Source organism: Homo sapiens, chromosome 12 (assembly GCF_000001405.40).
Source record: "Homo sapiens chromosome 12, GRCh38.p14 Primary Assembly".
NCBI classification, from domain to species: domain Eukaryota; kingdom Metazoa; phylum Chordata; class Mammalia; order Primates; family Hominidae; genus Homo; species Homo sapiens.
The window spans coordinates 16,248,551-16,268,882 of NC_000012.12; the positions used below are offsets into that span (position 1 = coordinate 16,248,551).

Below are 20,332 nucleotides of genomic sequence, written 5' to 3' on the forward strand. Positions count from 1 at the left end.
AAAAGGAACTATACAATAATCTGTCTACCCAAAGGGAGTGGCCCTTGTCCCATGAAACTGTAGTTACCACTGAATGTTAGGATGGATACCTGTTGAAAACATTTACATCTAAACATCATACCACTTCCTTGGATTAATCCATTAGACTTAATAGAAAACTCACGCCTTCTATGCAAATAATTTTGGGTGTCATGTAGGCTCAGCCTTTAAAAAAGTCCATTATCATTACAGTTCTCAAATTGATTTTCTGTACCAGGAGCAGAAATGGGAAGTTGACGAAAATACTGAAATGAAAAATTCAACTGAGACTTCAAGCTCTGGTTTAAATGTGCATGGCAAACACACCAGGCGTGCACATTTTAAAATAAAACAGATGAGCTATTTTAAGTGTTTTATTGCAAAACTTAAAGATTGTAGTTATTACTATTTTTTAAAAAACTTTTAGAAAGCAGTTTTCCTATTCTTTGTACCTTTAAGTCCTTGGCTCTAATATTCTACTCTTCTGACCTTGATCTAATCATGAATATCTATGCTACTTAATTATAATTAAAAAAAAGCCTACATTGCACTCTAGATGGTAGATGCACATTTTTTCTTCTTTGGTCACCTGCCAGTTCTCAAAATTATAGCAGTGGGAAGAAATGCAAATGAATTCCGTGCTTGACAGCTAAACATAATGAAATGCATGGTCCACATTTGAAAAGTTACCTTAAAATAAAAGGTAGCATATAAAAAATCATTTCTTTAAGGTCACCTGTGGCTTTGAATTACAGCTTTGAGGAATTTCCAATTTAGTCATCAGAAAGAAGCCAAAATAAGGATTACACACCTCACTAAAGGAAAGACAGAGTTTTACTTCATCATAGTTGGGTGAGCTTAGAAATAGTAAACAAAACAAGCAAAACAAAGCACAACCCTCAAATATTCATTTTATAGAGCCTTGTGTAAAGTCAGCCACTTGAGAGCATTTTCTATGCTAATTGTTCCTGTAGCTAATAAAGTTTTTTCTTGTTAACATCCAAAAATAGGTTACCTTATCACATGTTAAAATGTGTAATATATGGACTGCAATAGGCTGGCAGTAAACAGAGTTTATTACATAGATCTGTATTAGTTGAAAGAGAATTGTATTTCTTGATTCAGATGAATGTATATTCAAATAGTAGATTAAGAAGCAAATGAATGGATGCTGAACAGTTATTTAGAAAATTTGAATCCAAAAATAGTATATATGAATATATGTATACATATGTATGCATATGTGTGTGCGTATTCACAAAACTCCAAATTATTTGATAATTGGACACTTGAGAAAGTGCCAAAGTGGTTTTTAGGAAAAATCATATACTTTACATTTTCTTCTTTTTTTGCTATTGGGGACTTTTTGCATATTGACCGCATTCTATAGACTACTAGGAGGACATGTACTGCTAAGTGTGGTCCACAGGCCACAGAGCTCTCAGAAACAGGGCAGAGGCTTCTGTGTATAATATTTTCAATGCTTCACTGCCTCAGTATGTGGTGTAATAGAATGAGCTCCAGCCTAAGAAAAATAGGCTTGGGTTCTGGTTCCACTTCAGCTCTTTTCTGTGACATCTTGAGCAAGTCATTTAATTATATTATGTCTCAGTTTCTGTGCTCAGCTTAACAATAACAAACACTGATTGAACACTTACCATATTCAAGTATTTATAAGACACAGGAATTTCTAATTGTGTTTATAAATAGATAATTTCAACATGTGGTAAATAAAATGGTAAAGATGTGTTCAGAGTGCTACAGGAGCAGAGGCAAAGCATCCAGAGTCTAGTCTGCAAAAGGTGCCCTTCCCACCTACATTGTAGGTATATGATAAAAATAAAATAACATTGGTGAATGCGCTTCATTTTTAAAAATGTAACTCATTGCATTACTATTGGTAGTAGCTGTATAGAGAAATAGCAGGAAAAGAAAAATATGTTACGAATTAAGGTCTGAGTTAAACAAGATGAATAGAGAGACTTAACAATGGAACAGAATAGAAACTCCAGAAGTGCAAGCGAAAGTACGCAATGAAGATGGCGTCTAAAATCAGTTTGAAAAACATAGACTTTTTAATAAGTAAGATTAGGATAAGTTGGTAATAATATGGAAAAAAGATACAGTTGGGTTTATTCTTAAAAGATATTCTAACATAATTTATGAAGGGGTCAGAGAGGTAAAGAAAAGAGGCAATAAAATGAATACTAAAAGAAAATGTGGGTTAATTCTTTTATAACCTGAAAGTGAGTAAAACTTTTTGACCATGACTCAAAATGTAGAAGCAATAAGGGAGAATATTGAAGAATTTTATTACAAACATAAGCCCCAATGAAAGACAAAACAAACACATGGAAAACCCTGTGCATAAAAAAATAACACAAGAAGCAAGTTAAAAATATGTGTGATAAATAGGGAATAATATTTGCAACTTTTGTCATGGACAAAGTGTTAATACTCCCAAAATATAATGCTCTAAAAATTGACAAGAAATGAATACAAAACAACCTATTCTTAACAAATTGGACAAAGAAGAAATCACAAGGGAATTTAGAAAATATCTGGACACAGATTAAAACAAAAACACACTATACCAAAACTTATGAGATGCAGCAAGAGTGGTAAATACTAAGAGGAAAGTTTATAATGGCAAATGTTTACATTAATAAAGAAGAATGATCTCAAATCAATAACTTAACCTTACACCTCAAGGAACTAGAGAAAGAACAAACAACACAAAGTCAGAAGAAAGAAGGAAATAATAAAGATTAGAGCAGAGATAAACAAAATAGAGAATGGAAAACAGTAGAAAAAACTCAATGAAAGCATGTTGATTTTTGGAAAGATTAAAAAAATTAACAAACCCTTATGTAGACTAAGAAAAATAGAGGAAAGACTCAAATAATTAAAATTAGAAATGAAAGGAGACATTACAAATGATGTCACAGAAATAAAAAGGATTATAGAGGAAGAATTGTACGCCAACAAATTATATAATCTAGAAGAAATGGATAGCTTTCTATAAACATACAACCTACTAAGACTGAATCATGACAAAATAAAAAATCTGAAAAGACCTAAAACTAGTGAAAAGACTTAAACAGTAATCAAAAACCCCCTAACAAAGAAAAGCCCAGGACCAGATGGATCCACTGGAGAACGGTACCAAACATTTAAAGAAGAATTAACACCTGTTTTTCTTCAACTCTTCCAAAGACTCTAAAAAGAGAAACATTCCCAACTATTCTGAGGCCAGCATTACTTTGATACCAAAACCAGACAAAGACATAACAAGAAAAGTACAGATCAATAGTTCTGATGAATATTGATATAAAATAGAAACAAACCAAGTTCAATAGCACATTAAATGGATCATAGACCACAGACAAGTGGAATTTATACCTGGAATTCAAAAATAGTTCAACATACAAAAATCAATCAATGTATTACATCAATGTATTACATCACATTAACAAAATGAAGGACAAAAACCACATGATCATCTCAATGGATGCAGGAAAAACATTTGAGAAAATTCAACACCCTTTCATGATAAAAACATTAGACAAACTAAGAATAGCAGGAAACTACCTTAACATAATAAAAGTCATATATGAATATCCCACCGCTGACATCATACTCAATGGGAAAGACTGAATGCTTTTCCTCTAAGATTAGGAACAAGGCAAAGATGCCCACTCTTGCTACTATAATTGAACATAGTGCTGAAAGTTTCAGACAGAGAAATAACAAGAGAAAAAACTAAAAAGCATACAAATCAGAATAGAAGAAGGAAAAGCGCCTCTGTTCACAGACGGCATGATCTTATATGTACCAAACACTAAGAATTCGACACAAAAGTCATTAGAATTAATAAAGGAGTTCAGCAGTTTCAGAATACAAGATCAGCACTCAAAAATCAGTTGCATTTCTATAATTAACGATGACTGATCTGAAAGCAAATTAAGGAAACATTCCCATATACTATAGCATTGAAAAGATAAATACTTAGAAATAAACTTAACGAAGAAGGTGAAAGACTTGTATAATGGAAACTATAAAACTTTACTAAAAAAAATTGAAGAATATACAAATAAATGGAAAGATATCCTGAGCTTGTGAATTGGAAGACTTAATATTGTTAAAATGTCCATACTAGCCAAAGTGATCTATAGATTCAATGCAATCCCTGTCAAAATCTCAATAGCATTTTTGCAGAAATAGAAAAAAATTCCTGAAATTCATATGGAATATTAATAGTGAAAACAAACTTGAAAAAGAAAATTGAAGTTGGATGTCCCACACTTCTTGATTTTAAAACATACTACAAAGTAACAGCAATTAAGAGTACAAGGTTCTGATATGAAGATAGATATAAGACCAATGGAACAGAGTAGAGAGCCCAAAAATACACCTTCGCACATGTTGGCGAATAATTTTCATCAGGGGTGCCAAGACTACGTAAGGGGGAAAGGACAGTCTCTTCAACAAATAGGGCGGGGTAAATCGGATATCCACATGCAAAAGAATGAAGTTGGATCCTTGCTTTAGACCATGTACAAAAATTAACTCAAAATAAATTAAAGACCTAAAACCATTAAACTCCTACAGGAAGAAACTATAGGGCAACAGCTTCAGAAGACTGGATTTAGCAATGATTTCTTGGACATGACAATAAAACACAGGCAACAAAAAAATTAAAAATAGACAAATGGGATGACATCAAACATGAAAACGTCGGCATTTCAAAGAAAACAATCCACAGAGTGAAAAGGCAACATATGGAATGGGGGAAAATAATTGCAAAACATATGTCTGATATGGGGCTAATATCCAGAATATATAATGAACTTCTACAACTTAAGAAAAATCCCCCCAACCTCAAATAACCTGTTTAAAAAATGACCAAAGGACTTGAATAGAATTTTCTTCAAAGAAGATTTACAGATGGCCAATACACACATGAAAAGATGCTCAACATCACTAATTACTAGGGAAATGCAAATCAAAACCATAATGAGGCTGGGTGCCGTGGCTCACACTTCTAATCCCAGCATTTTGGGAGGATGAGGTGGGAAAATCCTTTGAGCTCAGGATTTTGAGATCAGCCTAGGCAACATAGGGAGACCCTGTCTTTGAAATAATAATAAGAAGATGTCACTTCATAGCCATCATTCAAGGTGGGCAGTATTAAAAGATCAGAAAAATACTGCGTTGACGAGGATGTGGAGAAATTGTGGGTAACCCTTGTGCACTGTTGGTGGAAATGTAAAATGGTGCAGCCATTGTGGAAAGCAGTAAAAAGAGTTCTCAAAAACTTTAAAGTAGAATTACTACTATATGATTCAGCAATCCCACTTCTGAGTATATATCCATAAGAATTCAAAGTGAGATTCTGAGGAAATATTTACATACCCTCATTCATCTCAGCATTATTTATATTTGCCAAGAGCTAGACACATCCCACATGTCCATTGTTAGACAAGTGAATAAAGAAAATGTGGTATATACATAAAATGGAATGTTATGTGGTATTAATATCCTAATATTCTCAAGGTATATCCATGTTGTAGCATGTGACAGGATGCTACAACATGGATAAACGTTGAGGATATTAGGCTAAGTGAGTAGTCTTAAAAGGACAAAGACCCTGTCTTTGAAATAATAATAATAATATGATTCCACTCATATGAAGTAGCTAAAGCAGTCAAAAAATAGAAACAGAAAGTAGAAAAGCATTTACCAAGGACTAGGAGGAGTGGGGAGGATGAATTAGTGTTTAGTGGGTATACAGCTTTAGTGTTGCGGCAAGATGAAAAAGTTCTAGAAATCCATTGCATAACAATATGAATATACTTAACACTACTGAACTGTACACTTAAAATGATTAAGATGGTTTATTTCCCTTAACACAATGTCTTCCAGTTCTACTGGTGTTGCTGCAAATGACAGGATTTCATTCCTTTTTATGGCTGAATAGTATTCCATCGTGTATAGATACCACATTTTCTTTATTCATTCATTTGTTGTTGGATGCCTAGACTGATTCCATATCTCAGCTATTGTGAGTAGTGCTGCAATAAATATGAGGGTGCAAATGTCTCTGATGTATTGATTTTCCTTCCTTTGGATAAATGAATGAAACTGCAAGACATTATGTTAAGTGAAATAAGCCAAGAGAAAGTTAAACATTGCATGTTCTCATTTACATGTGGAAGCCAGAAAAAGCTGATCTCAAAGAAGTAAAACGTAGAACAGAGGATATTAGAGGCTGGGAAGCATAGGGGCAAGGGAGAGATTTATTAAGTGACACAAAATTATAGCTAGGTAGGAGGAATACGTATTAGTGTTCTATACCACTGTAGGATGACTATAGTTAACAATAAAATATTATATAGTTTTAGATAGCTAGAAGAAGGATATTGAATTTTCCCAACACAAAGAAATGATGTTTGAAATGATGGATCTGCCAATTACCCTGATGTGATTACTATACCTTATATGTATTGAAACATCACTATGTACCTCGTAAATATGTACAATTATTATTATCAGTTAAAAGCTACAATAAATAGTCCTGATAGCTGAATGCCTGAGCTGAAAATTACATGTTCATCTTATACACTCAGAAAAAAATGATAAAGATGGTAAATTTTATATTATGTGTTTTTTTACCACAATAAATACCACAACCCTATAGAAAAGTTGAACTAGAAACATGAACAGGTAATTCACTGAAAAAGAAATTCAAAATGCTCTAAGGCAATGAAAAGATGCTCACCTCTTCTCAAAATAAGAAAAATGCAAATTTAAACCACAGCAAGATACCATTTTCCACTCTCAAATTGGCAAAAATCCCAAAGTTTGACAATATACTTTGTTTGAGAGGCTGTGGGGAAAAAGGCATTCTTGTACATTTTTGGTAGAAATACAAAATAGTGCCACAACCACTATAGAAAGGAATTTGGCAACATATAGAAAAATTATATATGGACTTACTTTTGATTTGGCAATATTACTTCTAGGAATCTATCCTAAAGATACACTGGCAAAAAAGAAAAGCAAAGAGAAACATGCACCAAGCTATTTGTTAGAATCTACTTAATATGGCAAATGTAAAAAAAAACCCAAATGTCTATCCATATGGAACTGGTAAAATAAATGATAGTTTGTTACACGATGAATATACAATTATAAAATGATCCCTAAACTATACTAAGTAAAAAAAAAGCAAGTGAGAAAAGTGTGAATTATATGTTACTTCTTACATCAAAAGGGCAGACAATATATATGCCTACATGCACCCACACATATTTTAATATTTGCATTTATTTAAAAATGGAAGGATAATCCATAAAACAAAGGAAGCAATGAAAAACAGCAAGAGGCTTATCTGAACGACTAAGGTACCAACATGAAGGGGACTTCACTGTCCAAGTATGGAAACAAATTTGAGAATCACTAGCTGTAGTAGATTAAAATACATAAAAAATGCTTAAGAGCATAAATTCATAATCATAGTTTTTTTAAAGAAATCCTAATAGTTACATTAGCAGAATGTTGAAATTCAACTCAATAATTTGCAAATCTATAGATAGAAGGAAATAATTAAATGTTTATCTTCTTTTTATTACATATACTATACCTCAATGTAACTAGCTGATGAGGAGATACCTGTCTTTATGAAACTATTTCAGCTAGTAAAAGAGGAAGAAATATAGAATATGATCACCTTGCAATCCTCAATAAAATATTGGATTTGGGCAAAAATCATCAATGAATGCTAACTCTGCAAAAACAGACATTATGCCTCTTAATTAAAGTACATAATGCCACCTATGAAGAAATTTGACCAAAATAAAATCTGAATCTGCGAGTATCTAGGTCTGTTAGAAAATTTACGGGAAATACAGAGGGAAAGCACTATGAGGATGCAATTCACAAAATCCCGACTATGGGAAATGCTCTAAGAAATGTTAAGATTTCTTTTTAAAAAATAATAAATTAGGGGCCGGGCGTGGTGGCTCACGCCTGTAATCCCAGCACTTTGGGAGGCTGAGGCGGACAGATCACGAGGTCAGGAGATCGAGACCATCCTGGCTAACACGGTGAAACCCCGTTTCTACTAAAAATACAAAAAATTAGCCAGGCGTGGTGGCGGGCACCTGTAGTCCCAGCTACTCGGGAGGCTGAGGCAGGTGAATGGCGTGAACCTGGGAGTCGGAGCTTGCAGTGAGCGGACATCGCACCACTGCACGCCAGCCTGGACGACAGAGAGAGGCTCCGTCTCAAAAAAAAAAAATAATAATAATAATAAATTAAATAGAGATAGAGATGCATGGGGAATAGATAGATAGATAGATAGATAGATAGATAGATAGATAGTTTCTGGACATATCTGGCATTTGGAATGTTTAAACCTTTTTTGGATTTGATTTGAACAAACTATAAAACAAAAAAACAAATTTCAAAAAGGAAACAATTGGAGATTTTAACAGTGACTAGATATTTGATGGTGTTAAGAAATTTTCTTCCTCCACAAACACATATGTGGGTGTGTGTGACAGAGAGAGAGAGATTGATAATGACATTGTGGTTATGTTTTTCAAATGGAATTTAACTTTTATGTATGCATACACCTACATAATATATTACATATAAATAAATATAACAAAATACAAGAATAAGAAATGCTATAATATTTAGTTTTTGCTTGAAAATTACCCGGGTGAGAAGAAGAAAAAGTGAGTGAAGATGAGTTGATAATTGCTGAAGCTCAGAGCTACCTAGGTGAGGTTCATGTATAGTCTTTATCTACTTTTGTTTATGCTTAAGATATTCCATTATTAAAATTTTTTCAACCAGGGAAAAAAGGAAGATGGGGAGAAGAGGAATCTCTACCTCTCAACTTTTCATTGGGTCTAAATCTTGCCATTAGAATCCCATTGCAAAGAAGCAGTCTTAATTTTTACTTAAAAATATTCTTGCAGACCATTGCTTTATCAAGGGTAATATCTGACACAATTTTCAAATTCTGAGTTGAAAGAGAAGTTATAAAGAATCAAAGAGAAAGGATATCTGTCAAGAAAACAATATAAACCCAGAAATCAATGTAACGCATAATTTACTTACGTTTTTCTGACTGATAAATTAGGTTGTAGTATATCATATGAAGAGTTATCACAGCCATAAGCATAGACATAAAAGGAATAAGTAAAACAAGGGCCCAGGCCTGTGAGTGCTGGATGTAAGATATTCCCAGAAACACAATAGTTGCATTTAGGTTCATGAGCCAATAAAACCTGGGGTATACAGACAGACAAAAATAAAAATACCATTGAATTGCTTTAGATAACTATTGCTAATTTTAATGCTTCTAATCAAATGTAAACTACCAAATGATGGCATGTTAACTGAACCCAATTTTGCAAATGTTGTTTATCAGATTTCTTAAGTATATAAACATCAGCCCTGACTTAGCAGTTTCATTATCTTTGTTTTATCCTTGTTTAGAATCGATATAGAAAGAAGGCGCTCTCTTTCATCTAAATCAGAGGTTGGCAAAATTTTTCTCTAAAGGGCTGAATAGATAGTAAATATTTTAGGCTTTGCAGGCCATACAGTCTCTGTAGCACTGTGGTGCTAAAGAAGCTATAGACAACACTTAATCATTCAAATACCCCTAATGAAACTGGAAGGATTAAAAAGTTAATCCTTCCTGTATATTCCAGTTTTCAAAGTATAGGAAAACACAAATACTCAGAAATATCTGGGTTATACTTAGAATAGCATGTAACTGAAGAAATGAGTGACATTTGAATAAAACTTTCCATTTTTCTTCCCAATGATTAGTATCACAGAGAGGTACCTACCCCAGTAGTCTGGTTTGCAAGTTCTGGGAAAATCATCTCTACCTCTCAACCTTTCACTGGGTATAAATCTTGCCATTAGAATCCCATTGCAAAGAAGAGATCTTAACTTTTACTTAAAAAATTGACGTAAAATTAAATGCAATAAAATTTACTCATTTACATATATAACTTATATACATATTAGTTTTTTTAAGTGTTTCAGTTGTGCAAGCCTTAGTACACTTACACTATCATTAAAATTTTAGATAAGCCTTAGTACACTTACACTATCATTAAAATTTAAAGGGCTTATGTGATTAGATGAGACCCACCCAGTATAATCTGGGCTCTGATCAACTCAAGTCAACTGATGAGAAACCCCAATTATCTCTGCAAAATCATTTCACCTTTGCCATATAACATAATTAGGGGAGTGATATCCCATAATCTTTCCCATATTCTATTGGTTAGAATTGGGTTACAAGTTGTGCCTGCACTCAGGGGGATGGGTCCAAACAAGTGTGGTCCACTGGGGGTCATCCTGGGGCATGTCTGCCACATCTTCTTTTTCTTTTTTTTTTTTTCTTTTTCTTTTCTTTCTTTCCTTTTTTTTTTTTTTTTTTTTTTTTTGCGACAAAGTCTTACTCTGTCACCCAGGCTGGAATGCAGTGGTGCAATCATGGCTGACTGCAGCTTTGACCTCCCAGGCTGAAGGAATCCTACTGCCTCAGCTTCTCTCAAGTAGCTGGGACCACAAGCACGCACTACCATACCTGGTAATTTTTTTTTTTATTTTTAGTAGAGATGAGGTCTCACTGTGTTGCCCAGGCTGCACATCTGATTCCTCTCTCCTCTCCTCTTCTCTCCCCTCCCCTTTTCTTTTTCCTTTCCTTCATTCTTTCCTTCCCTCCTTTCCTCCCTCACTCCCTCCCTCTCTTCCCTCCTTCCTTCCTTCCTTGTTCCTTCCTTCTTTCCTTCCTTCGTCCCTCCCTCCCCCAGTTCCTCCCTCCTTCCTTCCCTTATTTCCCTCTATTTCCTCTAAGTAAAAGGAGAAGTACAGACAACAGGTAGAACTGGCTATGGAAAGGGAATATTGAAGGTTTGAGAAGAAAGAAAATGTTTAGAAGTTGTAATCTGAAGGAGAAGGAGAGAAATTGGGCATCATATACTTGCTAGGCAATGATAAGGAACCAGTTTGGTGGTCATGAACTTAATGCGATCATAGTATAATTTTGCATTTTTCTCAGACTTGTTGCTGTGTGAGTACAATAATGGAATAAGTGGAGAGTTGAATTTTAACTAAGATTATTTCCTCCATCACACAGGAGAGTATGACAAAGTAAGCTGGGGGGATGGGGAGGGAAAAATAATTGAAGACATGGAATATTATTGCTAATTAATTGGAGACTAGCCTTGCTGCATACTTTCTGGTTGAGAGTGGAGGCTCAACTCCTTGCTGTACCCAGCTGACACCACCCGGGCGGGGGGTAAGTTAGAGCACTTCCAGTTTCTGCTGGGCAGGAGATCCAAGACAAGTTCCTCACTTGGCCTCAGCAACATCACCCGACTTGGGAATCAGAGTGTTCCTGTGTGATTCTCCAAGTGTTAATGTAAAATATTAAGTCTTGCTCATGTCTGCTGAAACTATTAGGCCAGGAATATGCAGGGGAGGCAGTGTTTTTAATAGTGTTTGGCTAGAGAAGGACAGATATTGTCAAAAATATTTTCTGCTATATTAGTCTACCTTTTCCCTAATACTTTGTGTAAGGGGAGCAGGACTTTTTTTGGAGCTGCCCATTACTTGCCACACCTCGGCTCTTACCCATCTGTACCTGGTTCCAGGTTCTAGGTTTTTCCATAGCCCCACTGATAACAAAAAGAAAACCCAGGAAATTCATTATTGTCCTTCCTCAAGTTCAAAAGCCCCTAGGAAGAGACTGTCTTCTTTCCACCTTTTGGAATCTCCCTACGTTCGTTTGTTGTGTTAAGTTCGGGTTTTTTCAATGTAAGAAGTACTTGGGAGAAATAGGGCTCTTCTCATATTGGCTAATACTGGAAATCCTCTTTTTTTTTTTTATTGGGTAGTTTCTTTTCCTATCATTGATTTGTCAAAGGTCTTCATATATTTTGGATGCATGTCATCTGTCAGATACATGTTCTACAAATGTTTTCTTATAATCTGGGGTTTTCCTTTTCATTTTCTCAATGATATCTTTTGATAAGAAAAAGTTTAAAATTTTAATAAATTTTAGTCTATCAATTTTTATCTTTATTGGTTCATACTTTTTGTGTCCCATGTAAAGAATACTTTCTAAACCTAAGTCACAAGTATTTTCCCGTTTTTTTTTTTAGATCACTTTTATGGGTTTTGATCTCATATAAAGTTAATAATCTAATTTGAATTAATTTTAGTAGAGTGTCATGGGGTAATTATTTCCTATATGGATATTCAGTTATTACAATACCATTTATTGAGAAGATGATCTTTTCCTCAGTGATCTTTTGACACTTTTGTTGAAAATCAATTGACCATACAAATGTAGGTGTATTTTCTGACTCTCAGTTCTGTTCCACTAATCTATCCTTATGCCAATACCATACTGTCTTGGTTACTGTTACTTTCTTTTCTCTTGTTTTTTTTTTAAAGAGCTTTATTGAGATATAATTGAGATGCAGTAAACTGCATATATTTGAAGTGTGCAATTTTATGTTTTGAATATGTATGTACACACAAAATAATTACGACATTCAAGATAACAAACATATCCATTGCTTCTAAAGCTCAGTCACATCCCTTTGTCATCCTTCCTCTTACCCCTTCTCATTTCCCCTTCCTCATCTCCAGGAAACCACTGATCTTTTTTCTGCCACTATAAATTAGTTTGCAATTCATAGATTTAGAAAAAAGTATTAAATTATCTGTATTTTTTAATCTGGCTTCTTTCACTTAGCATAATTATTTTGAGATTCATCCATGTTAGTATATTTATCTGTACCCATTCCTCTCTGTTGCCAAGTACTATTCCATTATGTAAATGTACCACTGTTTGTTTATGCATTTATCTGTTAATAGACTTTTTCAGCTTATTGCTATTACAAATAACGCTGTTAAGAACATTCATATACAAGCCTTTGAACAGACATAGACATTAATTTCTCTTGGTTAAAACCTAGGAGTGTAATGGCTGGGTGATATGATAGATGTATATTTAATATTTTAAGAAAATATCAAATAGTTTTTAAGTAGTTGTAACATTTTTACATTATCACAACATGTGTATGAGAGTTCTAATCTCTTCATATCCCTGCCAAAACTTGGTATACTACATGTGTACTGGTATATCATTGTGGTTTTATTTTGCATTTCCCTAATGACTAATGATGTTGAGCATCTTTTCATGTGCTTATTGACCATCTGCATATCTTCTTTGGTGAAATTTCTGTCCTTATGTATTCTGGCTATAAGTCCTTTCTCAATTATGTGATTTGTAAGTATTTTCTCCCAGTCTGTGGCTTGTCTTTTCATTCTATTAAAAGTGTCTTTTGAAAAGCAGAAATTCTTAATTGTGATGAAGTCCTATTATAATTTTTTTTCATGGATCGTCCTTTTAGAATTGTTTCTCAGAAATCATTGCCTAAACTGAGGTCAGAAAACTTTTCTCCCTCTCTTTCAGAGAAGAAATCTGAACTGGGAGAACTGAAATGACTCATCCAAATTCACACAGCTGTGTTGCTTGTAGAGCCATGAGCAGAAGCCATCATCCTGGTACAGGGCTAATTCGGCTAAATATCCTGTTAATACTTCTTTCTGCATCTTTGCAGTTATCAATTTCATGACACTATCATTTTCTTGTTAATGCAGCCTTTAACATTTGAAATTACCTTTCATTCCTCTCATTCCTCTCATTCCTCTCATCACATTTTATATATCAATCATTAACTGTAAATGTTGTCCTGCCTCTTCAGACTGGTAGTCCAAAGACATGAGTTAGAGTCACAAAATCTGAAAATCACATGGTCTGTGATCTTCTACTCTCTGGAATTTTAAAAATTGTAATCACACCCTCTAAACAAGGTTTTTTGTTAAGAATTTTAATGAAGAACATTAAATGAAGAACATGGATTATAACTACATGGTGCTAAGCCAATGTCATCATCAAATGTTCATTTTTCTCCAACCCTGATTTCAGGAACAAAAATAGCAGTGAAGTTGGAACATAGTGAGTGATATGGTTTAGTTCTCTGTCCCCATCCAAATCTCAACTTGTAGCTCTCATAATTCCCACATGTTGTGGGAGGGACCCAATTGGAGATGATTGAATCATGGGGGCGGGTCTTTTCTGTGATGCTCTCGTGATAGCGAATGGGTCTAACAAGATATGATGGTTTTAAAAATGGGAGTTTCTCTGCACAGCTCCCTCTTTGCCTGCTGCCATCTATATAAGATGTGACTTGCTCCGCCTTGCCTTCTCCCATGATTGTGAGGTCTCTCCAGCCATGTGTAACTGTAAGTCCAGTTAAACCTCTTTCTTTTGTAAATTGCCCAGTCTCAGGTATGTCTTTATCAGCAGTGTGAAAGCAGAATAATACAGTAAATTGGTACCAGTAGCATGGGGCACTGCTGAAAAGATACCTGCAAATGCACAAGTGACTTTGGAACTGGGTAACAGGCAGAGGATGGAACAGTTTGGAGGGCTCAGAAGACAGGAAAATGTGGGAAAGTTTGGAATGCCCTGGAGACTTGTTGAATGGCTTTGACCAAAATGCTAATAATGACATGGACAATGAAATCCAGGTTGAAGTGGTCTCAGATGGAGATGAGACACTTGGAAACTGGAACAAAGGTGACTCTTGTTATGTTTTAGCAGAGACTGGCACCATTTTGCCCCTGCCCTAGAGATTTGTGGAACTTTGAACTTGAGAGAGATGATTTAGGGCATCTGGCAGAAAAAATTTCTAAGCAGCAAAGCATTCAAGCGGTGACTTGGGTGCTGTTAAAGGCATTCAGTTTTATAAGGGAAGCAGAGCATAAAAGTTTGGAAAATTTGCAGCCTGACAATGCAATAGAAAAGAAAATCCCATTTTCTTAGGAGAAATTCAAGCCCGCTGCAGAAATTTGCATAAGTAACAAGAAACCAAATGTTAATCCCCAAGACAATGGGGAAAATGTCTCTCCAGGGCATGTCAGAGGTCTTCATGGCAACCCCTGCCATCACAGGCCCAGAGTTCTAAGAGGCAAAAATGGTTTTGTGGGCCAGGCCTAGGGTCCCTGTGCTGTGTGTAGTCTAGGGACTTGGTGCCCTGTGTCCCAGCTGCTCCAGCCATAACTAAAAGGGGCCAAGGTACAGCTCAGGCTGCTGTTTCAGAGGATGGAAACCCCAAGCCTTGGCAGCTTCCATGTGTTGTTGAGCCTGTGGGTGCACAGAGGTCAAGAACTGAGGTTTGGGAACCTCCACCTAGGTTTCAGAAGATGTATGGAAACACCTGGATGTCCAGGCAGAAGTTTGCTGCAGGGGCAGAGCCCTCTTGGACAACCTCTGCTGGGGCAGTGTGGAACAGAAATGTGGGATCAGAGCACCCACACAGAGTTCCTAATGGGGCATTGCCTACTGGAGCTGTGAGAAGAGAACCACTGGCCTCCAGACCCCAGAATGGTAGATCCACTGACAGCTTGCACCGTGTGCCTGGAAAAGCAGCAGACACTGGATGCCAGCCCGTGAAGGCAGCTGGGAGGGAAGCAGTACCCTGCAAAGCCACAGGGGCAGAGTTGCTGAAGGCCATGGGAACCCACCTCTTGCATTAGCATGACCTAAATGTGAGACATGGAGTCAAAGGAGATCATTTTGGAGGTTTAAGATTTGACTACCCTGCTGCATTTTGGACTTCCACTGGGCCTGTAGCCCCTTTGTTTTGGCTAATTTCTCCCATTTGGAATGGCTGTATTTACCCAATACCTGTACCCCCATTATATCTAGGAAGTAACTAAATTGTTTTCAATTTTACAGGCTCATAGATGGAAGGGACTTGCTTTGTCTCAGATGAGACTTTGGACTGTGGACTTTTGAGTTAATGCTGAAATGAGTTGATACTTTGGGGGACTGTTGGGAAGGCATGATTGGTTTTGAAATGTGAGGATATGAGATTTGGGAGGGGCCAGAGGCAGAATGATATTGTTTGGCTCTGTGTCCCCATCCAAATTTCATCTTGTAGCTCCCATATTTTCCACATGTTGTGGGAGGGACCAGGTGGGAGATGATAGAATCATGGGGGCACATCTTTCCCATGCTGTTCTCGTGATAGTGAATAGGTCTTACAAGATCTGATGGTTTTAAAAAGGGGAGTTTCTTTGCACAAGCTCTCTCTTCGCTTGCTGCCATCTGTGTAAGACATGATTTGCTCCTCCTTGCCTTCCACCATGATTATGAGGCTTCTCCAGCCACATGGAACTGTAAGTCAAATTAAACCTCTTTCTTTTGTAAATTTCCTAGTCTTGGGTATGTCTTTATCAGCAGCATGAAAGTGGACTAATACAGTGATTAAGGGATGAAATATTAGAAGAAAAGATAAACCAGGAAGTGTGGTCCAGGTTATTTAGGGCCTTGAAGTTCATGGCAAGAAGTTTGGGTTTTATTTTCAGTGCATTGGGAAGTCATTTGAAGGGAATTGAGCAGGGGTCTCATATGATCTTGTTTTCAGTGGAAAGATTATTGTGTCAGCTTCATGAATTGCAGATGCGGCAAGGTAGGGAGAAAATCACAGCTATTGTAGCAAGGTATGGAGAAAATCACAGCTATTGTAAGTCTGGATGAGAGCTAAGAGCAAACTGGGCCATGGTGGTAGCAAAGAAAAGAGATAGAAGTGGATAGATATGTGATATGTGTTTGGAAAGATGTGTGAAGTTGAGCTAGTCTGCTCACTGTCCCAGAAACAGACCTACTCATGTTTGTCTCCTTAACTTGTCCTATTTCTTGGCTTGCCCTGTCTCACTTTCAAAGTCCTATATTCAGTCTCTTTTCCTTCATTAAATACTTTCTTGAATATTCTGCTTGTTCTCTCCTGTAAACTTTTTTGTTTTTTGAGACATTATCTCACTCTGTTGACTAGGCTGGAGTACAGTAGCATGACCTTGACTCACTGCAGCCTTGATTTCTTGGGCTCAAGTGATCCTCTTGCCTCAGCCTCCCGAGTAGCTGGCACCACAGGTGCACACCACCATGCCTAGCTAATTTTTTTTTGTATTTTTTGTAGAGATGGGGTTTTGCCATTTTGCCCGGGCTGGTCTTGAACTCCTGAGCTCAAGCAATCCACCCGCTTTGGCCTCCCAAAGTGCTGGGACTAGAAACATGAGCCACTACACCCAGCTTCTTCTCTGAACTTCTAAAGAAAATACTCTTTCTTCAATTATTTCATTTTTGTCAGTTTTGCTTTTCATTTATAGATTGTGAAGCTCCTTGATGATAAGATTTTATTCTTTATTTCTTTATCTCCATGAGACCTAGCACAGTACTAGGTTCAAAATAAATGGAGATTAAATAACAGATTAATAATATGGCATCTCATAAAAATCAATTAATCAAACAAACACAACGTAAAAAAACTAAAACCTCTCAATAATTGGCCTAGAAAGTGATAGAACATGGAACGTGACCACATTGAGCAAACTGATTTACTGTGATCCACTAAATGTATTTATCATAAGGTAGGTGAGGTACAAAAAGTTATAATTTTCTAGGACAACTGGGTGGAGTCCCTAGGCTAAGCCACAGGTTGTCCTTTCTTGCTGCTGCAAGCTGTACACTTGACTTGTGGCTGTAGCAACACAGAGAATCTGGAGCCAAAAGCACTGTTACAGTGCTTTCAGTCTTTAGGAAACTCTTTTTAAAAAGTTAAGCATTGTTGAGAAAATCTCAGGGAACACCGTGTGACTCTTCAGTATACCACATGGTGATGTAAACTGCATTGCTCTAAAGAGGGTCAAGGAAAATTACAACTATTCCAAGACTTAAATCTTGTGAAATGTAGTTAGAAACCAAAAATTATAGTACTGAATATGTATGTCTAGGAAGAGATTTTACATGAAGTACTAAATGTATTTTAACAAATGCCACCCAACATATTTGATTGTGTAATTTTCTGAAAGAATTACCTAGTACAGTCATGTTTTATATATGTCTTTGTTGATCCATGGACAGGACAAGCCACAGATAATTAAGGATGAAATTGTATATGTATCATCTATAAAAAAAAGAAATAAAAACCCACAGTCTTCAAACTTACCATTAAGACTCCTTTCATCTCATAGCTCACTAGCAAATTGAATTTATAAAGCACCTCTCACACAAAAAGTCAGAGAGCAAAGCACTAAAGCAAAACAAATACCAGTGATTAAGGAAAATTGAAAGCAGCAGTAAAAATATGTTTCTTTAGCCTACTTTTAAATACAGACTGAGAACTGCAAATAATTGGGAGTATATATAAGTGGTAATTTTTTTGTCTTCATGATTGCATGGTATTGAATACAAATGAGAAAAATTGTTGCTGCAAAACTCAGCAATCCTTATGAGATTATTTTAAACATTCACTTAATTAATTTAGTAATAAATTTAAATTACTCAAATATTTTGTCATTTCTTAGACTGGCCAGTTTTGATGTGCTTCGTGTTTACTTTTGGTGATTTGAAGAGAAATTATTTAAATGGTCTTTCCTAATCTGAGACAGTATCAAAGAAAGAAGGCAAATTTTCTATAAGTTTCAGGTCTTCATAGCATTAGTGTACCATTTAAATATTCCAGAGAAAGTATTTTATTCGACATTGATCAATGTTCAGATAATTTTCCAGGGGATTTGTGACTCTTCAGTGGGATAAAACTGAACTGTTTAGAGGAGTCAGTGAAATAAAATACTTGGGCACCGATTTCATGGTGGATGGCTGTTGTCAATCATTGCTTCTTTTAGCATAACCATTGGCCACTGAAGTACTTCAAAGAATATTCTGGCAGCCAAATATTTGGAGAAAGAAGGGGAAAATAGAAACTTTAGAGTTCCTTTTTATCTGTAAATACATATTTTTTTTTCCAGCAGAGCTGTTAAAGACAATTTAATAAAATATTGATTTTGGTAACTAGACATTAGGATTGAAGAAGTTAAGTTTTTAATTTAAAAATTTGGGGGACTGCTTTACTCTCTCTCCCAAGCTCTCCCTACCTCTCTTACTCTTTAACCTGTTTCATTCCCTTTCTGTCCTTTCCCATTCCCTCTCCCTCCTTTCCCATTCCCTCATTCTTTTGCCAACAACCCCCGCCCACCCCCCACCTTTTTTTTTTTTTTTTTTTTTTTGAGATAGGGTCTCACTCTGTCACCCAGACTAGACTGGTGCAGGGTGTTCACAGCTCACTGTAATCTCAGCCTCCTGAGCTCAAGCGATTCTTCCGCTTCAGCCTCTCAAGTACATGTGACTACAGGTTCACCCCACCATGCCTGGGTAATTAAAAAAAAATGTTTTTTTGGTAGAGATGGGGTTACTCAGGCTTGTCTCGAACCCCTGGCCTTGAGTGATCCTCCTGCCTAGGCCTCCCAGAGCCCAGGGATTCAGGTGTGAGTCACTGTGCCTGGCCAACACCCAAATTTTAACAGTTGTCCTGACTCATGTACCTTTCAAGCTTAAAAGAGAACATGCGCCCGGCTCTGTGGCTCATGCCTGTAATCCTGGCACTTTGGAGGCCAACGTGGGCAGATTGCCTGAGCTCAGGGATTTGAGACCAGCCTGGGCAACATGGTGAAACCCCATCTCTACTAAAATGCAAAAAAATTAGCTGGCGTGGTGGTATGAACCTGTAGTCCCAGCTACTTGGGAGGCTGAGGCAGGAGAATTGCTTGAACCCGGGAGACGGAGGTTGCAGTGAGCTCAGATCGCAAAGGTAAAGAAGGAAGTGCTTGTTGTTATTAGGGTGAGAGGGTAGCATTTGTTAAACTTGGCTAGAGCCAGTGCAAATAGAATTTGGGAAGGTCTGGTGATTTTTTCATAGCTATTTACAAGCTACTACTCCTCAGCATGCAACTCAAAGGACATTTTGAGTATTAATAAGATTATTTCATGAACTGCTTTGATTTTGTTTGCTGAAATGTACCTTATAAATTATGATTTTACGATTGAAGAGTATATGTAGATTTATATTTTTTTCTCTCTCTTTTCAGAATTATGTTGAATTTCTCAATCAGGCAGATTTCTAAATGTGAGATAATTGCTATAAAATTGTCAGAAAGTTCCAAAGCAGTCTGAAACACAGTAGTGGGTTCAATCAATGATTAGTTTCATTTCTTTTCAAAGGCATCACTAGATTTTCCTTATGGCTCTGGAGTTGTTTTCAAACTTTGTTCTTCTGAATCACCTGAAGTACTTGATATGGTAGGAATATTTCTGTCCCCTCAAATTTCATATGTTGAAATCTTAACTTGGTATTAG

General features: G+C 36.2%; 1 protein-coding gene and 1 long non-coding RNA gene across 3 annotated transcripts in view; one reads left to right on the plus strand and one right to left on the minus strand.

Annotated features, from left to right (window-relative positions):
• LOC101928362 (uncharacterized) overlaps window positions 1-20,332 on the plus strand; it is a 169,017-nt gene that overhangs the window by 141,042 nt on the left and 7,643 nt on the right. Inside the window, exon 1 of one of the 2 annotated variants that reach the window (XR_001749029.1) lies at window positions 19,745-20,275. The exons of the other annotated variant lie outside the window; for it this stretch is intronic. This is a non-coding gene — a long non-coding RNA (uncharacterized LOC101928362). Of the gene's footprint in view, window positions 1-19,744; window positions 20,276-20,332 lie in introns of those variants that run through there. 2 annotated transcript variants of the gene reach the window in all.
• The window catches only part of SLC15A5 (solute carrier family 15 member 5), an 89,201-nt gene that overhangs the window by 60,066 nt on the left and 8,803 nt on the right, over window positions 1-20,332 (minus strand). The window contains exon 3 of the mRNA NM_001170798.1: window positions 9,151-9,320. Coding sequence (NP_001164269.1) covers window positions 9,151-9,320 — 170 coding nt within the window. The remainder of the gene's footprint in view (window positions 1-9,150; window positions 9,321-20,332) is intronic.